Source organism: Homo sapiens, chromosome 5 (genome assembly GCF_000001405.40).
Source record: "Homo sapiens chromosome 5, GRCh38.p14 Primary Assembly".
In the NCBI taxonomy this organism is placed as follows: Eukaryota; Metazoa; Chordata; class Mammalia; order Primates; family Hominidae; genus Homo; species Homo sapiens.
This window is the reverse complement of record NC_000005.10, coordinates 133,055,775-133,068,010: the sequence shown is the minus strand read 5'-3', so window position 1 is coordinate 133,068,010 and position 12,236 is coordinate 133,055,775. Positions and strand designations below refer to the sequence as shown.

Here is a 12,236-nt window from a genome sequence, read left to right as displayed (position 1 = left end):
TGAGGCAGGAGAATCGCTGGAACCCAGGAGGCAGAGGTGGCAGTGAGCCAAGATCACACCATTGCCCACCAGCCTGGGTGACAAGGCGAGAGTCCATCTCAAAAAAAAAAAAAAAAAACTGTGATTGCTTTGCCTGCTCTTCCAGAAGTCATTCCCTAAAATCATGCTAAAAAGCCCACTGCATCAGTGAGCAAAACAAGCAGCAATGGCAGTATTAACTTCAAACCATCACTACCCAGGTCTCCAACCCATATTAAGAGCACCACTCATGGCTCCCAACCAACATCCAGATCATTCAAAAATTGTCAAATAGTCTTTACTAGAAAAAAGCTTTCCCTAAGCAACTGTAAGCATTTTCATTGCAATCTGACATCAGAAAAGTACAGATAGATATTGAACTGATAAAATATAATAATGCATTTTAATTAAAAGGCATTAACCTGACAACCTTACCTTTATACCTGTTAATCCTGTAGGCAACTGCACAATATCATATGCAAGGTTAGATTTTTCTGCCTCCACAAATGGATCAGAGAATGCTCGGCCATGGAATCTTTTAAATCCTTGGACTGTGTTCTTTGCATTAGAAATTACCTAAGAGAAAGAATATCAAAGAGTGGAAAGACTACTACTAATTTTTTTTTTATTTCAACAGCCTCAGATTAAATTAGCAACATTTTAACTTTATATAGAGTCTCCTTCTTGGTTTTGGTTTCTTCAGACCCTAAACTTTTCTAAATGGTGCCCACTAGCATGCGAAGTGAGGGAGGAGGGATTTGCATGGGTCTCAGAGTGGCAGGGCTAAAAATAGAGCCCTGCTCTTCCTATATCCCATGAAGTCAGGTCATTATACTTGCATAAGTATTTTCTGTTCTTAAACTTCTAATAAACATTTACATAAAATAACTTTTAGCCTTTAAAAATTGCCCATAGTTTATGGTTGAAAGTTTCCAGGAACCAACTCAGCAATACATAAATTGATTTAGAAATTCTAGTTAAGGCCGGGTGTCATGGCTCACGCCTGTAATCCCAGCACTTTGAAAGAAGCCAGGGCCTCATTTGAGGTCAGGAGCTCGAGACCAGCCTGACCAACATGGTGAAACGCTGTCTCTACTAAAAATACAAAAAATTAGCCAGGCATGGTGGTGCGCACCTGTAACCCCAGCTACTCAGGAGGCTGAGGCATGAGAATCATTTGAACCTGGGAGGTGGAGGTTGCGCTGACAGGGCCACTGCACTCTCAAAAACTGCACTCTCAAAAAAAAAAAAAAAAAGAAAAAAGAAAAGAAAAAAAATTCCAGTGAAACAAATTTCTCATAAAGGGGAAAAAAAAAATCATACTAAGTACACAAAAATGAACACAAAAGGATATTGGGAGAGTATTATTTGTAGTAGCAGACGCCTAGAAACAGCCTAAATGGTTAATAACAGGGAAATGCTTAAATTATGGGCTATTCATACAATGAAATATCAACAGGTAAAGTTTTCAGAAGGTGGTAAGACAAATGTCTATATGATTTTTGGATAATGGTTGAACAGGTGACTTACACTTTTTTATCTATGTTTTCTAATTCTTCTAGAATAAACTATCACAATTTATGAGGGGAAAATGCTGACAAAAATATTCAAAAAATTCCAGAATGACCTTCTGCTTAAGATTTACAGGCTGCTCCTCCCAATGCAGGAGATGTAGTAAGCTCCTGTATCAACTAGATGAAAGGGAACACACAGAAGTCCTTTTATGAAACAGATGAGGCCACCCAAATCATGCCTTCCTCGAGCAAGCTGCCAAACAGAAACTCTGTAACACAATAACTGTATCAACCTAGAACTGGGCAGCCAGTTTAGTATAGTAACTGTCTCTCAATCATGAAAAGCAGGTTTAAAAAACAGGAGCGATTTGCTCAAATTTTAGAAGGAAGAGATTTCAAAATGGCCCAATATTTTCTACCTGCTGTCTCCTAAAAGATCTCGAACACTGTGAAAATGAACTATAAAACATCCAACTTAATTAAAAACCAATTGGCCAAGCACCACTTTTTTAGGCTAATAAATTTTAGGCCCTGCCCCATTCAAAAACAGATTCACCCTATAGGGTTGCTCCAGGCTGAACCATAAGAAGGTCAAACATGCAACTCCTTAATTTTACAGATATCTCAGACACTTAGAATAACAGAACTCTTGGGGTTCTGCTGCTCTGGTTATTCAGAAACCAGCAACTACGTCAGGTTCCTGGTTTACAGAGTAAACTAAAAGCAAGTCCTTTAATGTATTTCTAGAGGTATGCTTTCCTTCCTTGAGAAACTTGTTTAACAAGATCAACACTTACCTTATATATGAGTAAGATGAAAGGCCCAACAAGACAGACTTAAGGAGCATGTAAAATATCAAGGAACAAGCAAGCCTTGCTTAACAAGATCTGGACAAAATACACCCTGGCAGTTTGCATTAAACAGATTATACTGCTAATGCTATTTTAAGGCCAGGTGCTTCTCACTGAAGCAGTGGTTCCTGGGTATCTGCAGGGGACTGATTCCAGGGCACTCCTTGAATTAGACCAAAATCCACAGATGCTCAAGTCCCTTAGACAAAATGACATAGTATTGGCCTATAACCTATGCACATCCTCCTGTATACCTGAAGTTGTCTCTAGATTACTTATAACACCTAATACAATGTAAATGCTATGTAAGTAGTTGTTACACTGGATTGTTTTCATTTGTATTTTTTATTGTTCCAGTGTTGTATTTTTTCCCAAAAATATTTTTGATCCACAGTTGTTTGAATCTACAGATGCAGAACCCATGGAATTCTGAGGGCTGACTGTACATGGGAACAGAGAAGAGGTCTGTATCTGCCAGTTGTATTCCCAAGGCCTACCAGTGTTAGGCACATAATGGGCATTCAACTACTTGCTGAACACATGGATGAAGAGGAGAAATAAGTCATTTTAGGAAAAAAATGAAACTTTACCTGGCTTTTAGCTGCTGCTCCAATTGAACGATTCTTAGGACCAAAAGAAATGCAAGCCCTAGAAGACAAAAAAAGCACTTAAGAATTAAATCTTACTACAATAATAAATCCAAAAGCATAGCAGGCAAGATCTGAGTATCAGCTAAAATGCCATATATTTTAATGGTACAAATCTATGATTTTGACCTTTCTATTGAGTAAATCTGTCCATGGAACAGGTTGCCTCTTACAACTGAGTCCTGTCATTTACATGCTGGAGCACAGATCTGATGTGATAACTACCTGTCTAGAATACTAGAGAGGTGGGCTAGACAGTCTCTACCATCCTCTAATTACTTTTCAAGTCTCCTGTTCAAAATCCCAGTATAAAATAATGTACCCTCACATCAATGTATCAATTAACATTTTTAAGACAGCTCACAACTTCACCAAGAATATAGTCTACAAACCCTGAAAACAACTCTCGCCCTATTAAATAAGTAAAAAAGTAATTTTTCTACAACTAGTTTCCAGGCACTCAATTTTTTTTTTTTTCCAAGAGTCTCACTCTGTTGCCTAGGCAGGACTGCAGTGGCCCTATCTCAGCTCACTGCAACCTCCGCCTCCCAGGTTCAAGTGATTTTCATGCCTCAGCCTCCCAAGTAGCTGGGATTACAGGCATGCACCATCACGCCCAGCTAATTTTTGTATTTTTAGTAGAGATGGAGTTTCACCATGTTGGTCAGGCTGGTATCGAACTCCTGACCTCAGATGATTCACCCACCTTGGACTCCCAAAATGCTGACGTTATAGGCGTGAGCCACCGCACCTGGCCAGGACTCAGAATTTCTGACAAGGAACTTTAACCCCACTTCTGAACATTCTTCTAAATCACCAATTCATACACAATCTCCTGATTTAATCCATTTACTGCTTCTTTTAGAAAGGCGAAACTGAAACCTGCTTGAAGGTTAAATAAAAACTCTGTGCTTACGCTTAAAAAGTGCAGTGGCTCACGCCTGTAATCCCAGCACTTTGGCGGGCTGAGGCAGGCGGATCACCTGAGGTCAGGAGTTCGAGACTAGCCAGGCCAACATGGTGAAACCCTGTCCCTACTAAAAATACAAAAAGTAGCTGGGCGTGGTGGCATGTGCCTGTAATCCCACCTACTCAAGAGGCTGAGGCAGGAGAATTGCTTGAACCAAGGAGTCGGAGGTTGCAGTGAGCCGAGATTGTGCCACTGCACTCCAGCCTGGCAACAGAGCAAGACCCTATCTCAAAAACAAAACAAACAAAAAAGGGCATTAATAAGTATAAGTAAATTTTGGCCGAGCGTGGTGGCTCATGCCTGTAATTCCAGCACTTTGGGGGGCCGAGGCGGGCAGATCACCTGAGGTCTGGAGTTCGAGACCAGCCACGCCCACATGATCAAACCCCGTCTCTACTAAAAATACAAAAAAATTAGCTGGGCATGGTGGCGGGCGCCTATAATCCCAGCTACTCAGGAGGCTGAGGCAGGAGAATCACTTGAACCTGGGAGACGGAGGTTGCAGTGAGCCAAGATCGCACCACTGCACTCCAGCCTGGGCAACAACAGCGAGACTCCGTCTCAAAAACAAAACAAAAAAAAGAGTAAATTTGGCTGGGCGCAGTGGCTCAAGCCTGTAATCCCAACGTTTTGGGAGGCCAAAGCAAGTGGATCATTTGAGTACAGGAATTCAAGACCAGCCTGGGCAGCATGGCGAAACCCTGTCTCTATAAAAAAAAAATACAAAAAAATTAGCTGGGCATGGTGGTGAGCACCTGTAATCCCAGCTATGGGGCAGTCACGGGGTGGGGGTGGCTGAGGCAGGAGGATCACCTGAACCCAGGAGCCTGAGGCTGCAGTAAGCTGTGATCATGCTATTGCACTCCAGCCTGGGGAAGAGAGCAAGCAAGACCCTGCCTTAAAAAAAAAAGATAGTAAATAAATTTATCCAGGGTCATGCAACCTGAAAGCAATGAAGTCAGGACTCTAGGTGATGTCTGAAGCTTTGACTCTCATCCTCCCTGAACTCCTAATTCTTCCAAGTCAACAGAGTAAATAAGAGCTCTGGAACCATACTGCCTTGGTCCAAATCTGACTAAATTAGATGAACTACTGATTTGGTAGAAACATAAACTTAAGAGCCCTGTGGAAACTGGCAGAATGCTGGGCCTCCCTGGGCTTCAGTGGTCCTTCACAACCAATGGCTAAGAACCCCTGTAAGCCAATCTCCCAGGGCAGCCACAGGAAGCCATGACTTCTATTAAATGACAGGAAGAACAAACATGGTACACCCTAGGACCTCATCAGAATTCCTCCAAATCCTAAGCTTTTGGGCCTAGAAAGTGCTGGGAGTAGCCCCTCAAAAGCAAAGGTGTCAAGCTCAGCCTTTCTGCAACTATGCCACCAATCACTAAAACAAATAAAATCTCTGTTTTAGACACTAGATGCAAATAAATAAAAAAAAATCCTCACTACCACGTAAATGTCTCTCCTCTCAAAGCCCATATTACCCTTTAGGAAATTGCCCAAGGCAATCTTACCCACTTCCTCCACCTCAAAAAGGCTGCCTAGCATAAGCCTAATAATTGGCACACCTCCATCTTTCTAAATACCACCAGATCTAAATTTCTAAGGTATATCCCACCATGACCCCAATCACAACATAACTAAAAGGCAATGTTACTCATCTTCCATTGTTTCCTGCAGCCCTTTTTCAAACCTTTATCTCCTCAAAATAATTACAATCCCCAACTTTCCTGCAAATCCTGCTGAAGGGTTAATTTCCTATTCTATGTCAGTAACTCTGAAACTGTCTTGCTTCTAATTACCTTCCAAACAAAACCAACTACCAACAAATAAAACCTATATTCCTTAATATGGAACCTAAGGCCTCTCCCAACCCAATCCCATTTTCCAGCTGTATTTCATCCACACAATCAACACAAGTTGAATAAAGTATCCCAATCTTCCTGCTTTGCTTATGTCACTTTTGACGTCTGAAATGCTTAGTACCTTCACGTATTCTCTAGAAATTCCACCTATTTTGTCTGTAAAGCCTTCTCAACCCACCCCAGCCCCCAAATAAAAAGTAATCGTTTACCGGGCACGGTGGCTCACGTCTGTAATCCCAGCACTTAGGGAGGCCAAGGCAGGCAGATCACCTGAGGTCAGGAGTTCAAGATCAGCCTGGCCAACATGGCGAAACTCTGTCTCTACTAAAAATACAAAACAAAAAACAAAAAAATTAGCCAGGCGTGGTGGCACACGCCTGTAGTCCCAGCTACTCGGGAGGCTGAGGCACCAGAATCGCTTGAACCCAGGATGTGGAGGTTGTAGTGAGCCAAGATCACGCCACTGCACTCCAGCCTGGGCAAGAGAGCAAGACTCAGTCGGGTGGTGGGGAGGGGTGGTAATCCTTTTTACCTCTTAAAACTGGACTTGGTTTAATTTCTACTTAACACCAACCACAAACCGAATTACATTATCAATACTAACACATTTATTTCCCTTGCTAAAACAATGTTTTATAAGCCGTAAGTCACAACCCATGTGTGGGTCTAAAATCAATCAGGGGTTGGAAGAAGTCATGAACAGCAACTTAGAAAACACGGCCGGGCGCGGTGGCTCACACCTGTAATCCCAGCACTTTGGGAGGCCAAGGCGGGTGGATCACGAGATCAAGAAATCGAGACCATCCTGGCTAACACAGTGAAACCCCATCTCTACTAAAAATACAAAAAATTAGCCAGGCATGGTGGCGGGCGCCTGTAGTCCCAGCTACTTGGGAGGCTGAGGCAGGAGAATGGCGTGAACCCAGCAGGTGGAGCTTGCAGTGAGGAGAGATCACGTCACTGCACTCCAGCCTGGGTGACAGGGCAAGACTCCGTCTCAAAAAAAAAAAAAAAGAAAAGAAAACACATGTATGCACTGCATGTGAAAGTACTGTTGTTTAATGAAGCTTTTCAGTTGTGTGTGTGCACGTACCAAGTCTTAATGAAAAATGTAAAATCTGAGGTCTTCAGTTACAGATACATGCTGTCTAATGAAGTAGCCACTAGCCACATGTGGCTATTTAAATTTAAATTATTTAAAATTAAATAAAATTTAAAACTCAGTTCTTGCAGTCAAGGTTGCAGTGAGCTAAAATCATGCCACTACACTCCACCCTGAGTGACAGAGCGAGACCTTGTCTCAAAAAAAAAAAAAAAAAAAAAGTCCTGTTTCACCTACTGGAACTGAAATCTAGTCAGCTACCTTTAAAATTATCTATTGATGTGGGATTTTAAAAAAAAGTCCTACTTCCATTAAAAAACGACAACTGAAAACAGAATATGATCAATTTGCTGAATTGGGTCAGTATGTAAAACAGCACCAGGCGCGCTGGCTCAGGCCTGTAATCCCAACACTTTGAGAGGCCGAGGTGGGCAGATCATCTGAGGTCAGGAGTTTGAGACCAGCCTGGACAACACGGTGAAACCCGTCTCTACTAAAAATACAAAAATTAGCCAGGCATGGTGGCACGCGCCTGTAATCCCAGCTACTCAGGGGGCTGAGGCAGAAGAATCACTTGAACCGGGGAGGCAGAGATTGTAGTGAGCCGAGATTGCACCACTGCATTCCGGCCTGGGCGACAGAGCGAACTCCGTCGCAAAAAAAAAAAAGTATAACAGCACAAATTGAAGGATTTTGAAAACTAAAGGCTTACATAAAGAAACCTAATATTTAAATGATATGAATACTCAAAAAGATTAACTTGAATATTAGCGCTAGCACTAGAACATAGGTCAATGCTTCTTGGTACAAGTTTACTGTAGAAAATTAGAAAACAGACAAGTATGAAGAAAAAAATAAAAATTATATATACTTCCACAACCCTCCCCCCACCACAGAGGGCCACTATTAACATTTAGGTAAATACTCCTATGTAATCCTAATAAATCTAGTAAGTCCTAAAAAAAAAAAGTAAAACTGATATACCACAATCAGTTTGCTTCTCCTCAACAAATGCTCTGAAAAGTCTTCAATGGCTGAATTATTGAGGATTTTGACACGGAATAAGCAAGACAAGAATATTTAAAGGAAATATACCTACTACTTTCCAGTCAACAAGAACTTTCAAATCTTGCAGTCTACATCCCTGATCCCTATCCATGGCAGGAATCCTCTCTCATCCAAGCAGGTCAAGATCCCTTGTTTCATAGTTCTCATTACAGAGCCTTCTGGTGCCAGGTGGTGTGCTAAGCATCCTACACTTGATAATCCTATATTCTCTGAGAAATGGGATTAGTATACAGGAAGAGCTGATTCAAGTCAAGTCAGTGTGCCCAGAAACGTATTAGAGTCTATGATTCAAAATTAGGACCATCAGACTCCAAACCCCACGTATACACACATTTTGGATTTTTTTTCTGGTTTTGAGACAGGGTCTCTCACTCTATCACCCAGGCTGGAATGCAGTGGCTCGATATCTGCTCACTGCAACCTCCGCCTCCCAGGCTCAAGCAATCCTCCTACCTCAGCCTCCCAAGAAGCTGGGACTATAGGTGTGTACCACCATGCCTAGCTAATTTTTTTTTTTTTTTTGAGACAAAGTCTCACTCTTGTCACCCAGGCTGGATGCAATGGCATAATCTCGGCTCACTGCAACCTCTGCCTCCCGGGTTCAAGTGATTCTCCTGCCTCAGCCTCCCAAGTAGCTGGGATTACAGGAACCTGCCACCACACCCAGCTAATTTTTTTATTTTTAGTAGAGACAGGGTTTCCCCATCTTGGCCAGGCTGGTCTCAAACTCCTGACCTCAGGCGAACCGCCCGCCTTGGCCTCCCGAAGTGCTGGGATTACAGGCACGAGCCACCACACCCAGCCTCTTTTATTATTCTATTATTATTATTATTACTATTTTTGAGACGGAGTCTCACTCTGTCACCCAGGCTGGAGTGCAGTGGCACCATCTCGGCTCACTGCAACCTCTGCCTCCTGGATTCAAGCAATTCTCCTGCCTCAGCCTCCTGAGGAGCTGGGATTACAGGCGCGTGCCACCACACCCAGCTAATTTTTGTATCTTTAGTAGAGGCAGGGTTTCAGCATACTGGCCAGGCTGGTCTCAAACTCCTGGCCTCAGGGGATTTGCCCACCTCGGCCTTCGAAAGTGCTGGGATTACAGGTGTGAGCCACCACACCCGGCCAATTTTTGTACTTTTTGTAGAGATGGGGTTTCGCCATGTTGTCCAGGCTGGTCCCAAACTCCGGAGCTCAAGTGATCCCCCCACCTCGGCCTCCCAAAGTGCTGGGATTACAGATGTAAACCACCACACCCGGCCCTATTTTGTTTTGGTTTTGTTTTTGGGGTTTTGAGATGGAGTTTCACTCCTGATGGCCAGGCTGGAGTGCAATGGCATGACCTCAGCTCACTGCAACCTCCACCTCCCGAATTCAAGCAATTCTCATGCCTCAGCCTCATCCTCAGCTGGGATTACAGGCATGCACCACCACACCCAGCTAATTTTGTATTTTTTAGTAGAGACAAGGTTTCACCGGGTTGGCCAGGCTGGTCTCAAACTCCTGACTTCAGGCGACCCGCCCACCTCAGCCTCTTCAAGTGCTGAGATTACAGGCGTGAGCCACTGTGCCCAGCCCCGTTATGTTTTTTAAGAGATGGTTCTCACTCTGTTGCCCAGGCTTGGAGTGTAGTACTCAATCACGGCTCACTGCAGCCTTGATCACTAACCTCAAGTGATCCTCCCACCTCAGTTTCCCAAGTAGCTGGCATGCCACCACAGCCTGCTAATGTTTTAAATTTTTTATAGAGACAGAGTCTCGCTATATTGCCCAGACTGGTCTCACACTCCTAACTTCAAGCAATCCTCCTGCCTCGGCCTCCCAAAGTGCTGGGATAACAGGCATGAGCCACCACAGCCAGCCTTAATTCATTCCTACTTCCATCCTTCACTCAAACTATCTGAATCCTTTATTCCATGTATTATCTAATCCTATTTGTTCAAGTCTCACTCCAGCCTTTCCTCATCAGTTTAGCCTCCACTGCTTACATCTCCTTTGAACATGGTATTTTAGGTCTGTATCACACAGCCTTGTCCATAATTGGACTCATTCTATTTACTGCTGCTTATGTTATTCATATTTTAACCACATTGATTACAACTAGACAGCAGGAATCTCTATCTTACACTTCTTCTATACTACACACAATGCCAAGTCAATGCTGCTTAATCCATAAGAAGTACTCACACATTTGCTGCTTGACTGACATTGCTTTTCCTCCATTCCAAATTGCACGGAGTTAATTCAAATCAAGTTTAAGATCCCTCTGTTCTAATCTTTAAGTCCTAGAAATTACTTCTTTTTTCAGCCAGACAATATCACTGTTTTCCTTTTCTTAAAAGAAACTACTGACCGAATATTTATGCACATTCTGAGAGGATATTATGAACAGCTGCAATTGGCATAGGTCCTTTAAAAGGTATAGTTTCATTTTTATAAGTGTATGCATAGCTAGGCGCGGTGGCATGCACCTGTAGTCCCAGCTATTCGGGAGGCTGAGGCACCAGAACTGCTTGAGCCTGAAAGGCGGAGGTTGCAGTGAGCCAAGATTGCACCATTGCACTCCAGCCTGAGCAACAGAGTGGGACATTGTCTCAAAAAAAAAAAAAAAAGGTACGCAGAACTACTCTCAGGATATTACAACAGCCATTGCTCTAATTCACTTTCTTCAACAATAGGAGAAAATGAGCTTTTCAGAGAAACCGCAATAATTAGACTATCACATACAACTGATAGGCAAAACTAGAATGGAAATAGAGACATTAATCAGAGTACTCTCTGGTTACTGCATTAGCCATGGACTAGAAAGTACCAAAAAGAGCTGATACCCAACAGACCAAACAACTCATACTTTTGAGATTTGCTGTTCCTAAAAACACAGCAAATTCCTCAGTAATTAACCTTTGCACTTTAAAAGTACACAGTTGTAGAACCCAAAAGGTAAACTTCCATAGATTTCATCTTACTGTCCTAATCTCATAAAAAATTAATAAAAAATACAAAAAGTAATAGTATTATTAGCAAATACTTTGGCAGTATTTACTGAATCCCAGGCATTATTCTGAGCACTATGGCAAAAAAAAAGGTATAAGTTATAGTTTTAACTCATTATAATTCTCATAATCTCCAATGAAGTAGAGAAATCACATCTGTTCCTACTGCAAATTAATCTGTTATATTTGTGTAAAGAATTCTGGCAATATTACTGAAACTTTAAGTATATACAGTATATCCCTTACCCTAGCAAATTCACCTCTGGAAATCTATACAATAAAAATAAAAGCATTAACATTACAACATAAATATGTAAGGCTACTTATTGAAGAACTATTTGTAACAGCAAAAAGTTAGAAATAACCTGTTTGAAGAAAACGTGTTAGAGCCATAATAAAGAATTTTACAGGCCGGGCGCGGTGGCTCACGCCTGTATTCCCAGCACTTTGGGAGGTCAAGGCGGGCGGATCACTTGAGACCAGGAGTTTGAGACCATCCTGGCCAACATGGCGAAACCACGTCTACCTAAAAATACAAAAATTAGCCGCATGTATGCACATGACCGCAACAATGCACTCCAGCCTGGGTGACAGAGCCAGACTCCGTGTCAAAAAATAATCTTCCCACTGCACCTAGGTAAAAATCATTATTATTATTTACAAGGCTCTGCCTAATTCCTCAGATTCATCTCACAGCATTCTCTCAAGCAGCTGAAAGAGTCGTGGCTGCTCTTCAATGTATCAAGGATGCAGCTCTTCTTGCTCAGGTCTTTCCCACTTGCTGTTCCTTCTGCCTGGAACAACTCTTCCTCAAACCTACTGTGACCTCCAAGGTAAAATCCTACTCATCCTCAGGTCTCAGATGGTACTTCTTTCAAAGCACCTTCTACCCAACTTATTTTTGAGACAGAGTCTCGCTCTGTCACCTAGGTTGGAGTGCAGTGCATGATCTCGGTTCACTGCAACCTCCACCTACCAGGTTCAAGCGATTCTTCTGCCTCAGCCTCCAGAGTAGCTGGGACCACAGGCGCCCGCCACCACACCCAGCTAATTTTTGTATTTTTAGTAGAGACAGGGTTCCAGCATGTTGGCCAGGCTGGTTGCGAACTCCTGACCTCAAGCGATCCTCCTACCTCAGCCTCCCAGAGTGCTGGGATTACAGGCATGAGCTATCGTGCCAGGTCCTTCCATCCAATTTAAATTAG

The 12,236-nt window shown here is 42.7% G+C and overlaps 1 protein-coding gene across 1 annotated transcript in view, besides 1 other annotated feature; it reads right to left on the bottom strand.

The window, feature by feature from the left end:
• HSPA4 (heat shock protein family A (Hsp70) member 4) overlaps positions 1 to 12,236 on the bottom strand; it is a 54,437-nt gene that overhangs the window by 38,439 nt on the left and 3,762 nt on the right. The window contains exons 2-3 of the mRNA NM_002154.4: positions 2,974 to 3,031; positions 454 to 594 (exon numbers count right to left, since the gene is read on the bottom strand). Coding sequence (NP_002145.3) covers positions 454 to 594; positions 2,974 to 3,031 — 199 coding nt within the window. The remainder of the gene's footprint in view (positions 1 to 453; positions 595 to 2,973; positions 3,032 to 12,236) is intronic.
• Positions 9,400 to 9,900: an enhancer, noted in NCBI's record as "H3K4me1 hESC enhancer chr5:132393803-132394303 (GRCh37/hg19 assembly coordinates)". NCBI's record gives its function as "activates a minimal SCP1, AML or CMV promoter by ChIP-STARR-seq in primed H9 embryonic stem cells {active_cell/tissue: H9 hESC(primed)}" and the evidence as "EXISTENCE:reporter gene assay evidence [ECO:0000049][PMID:30033119]".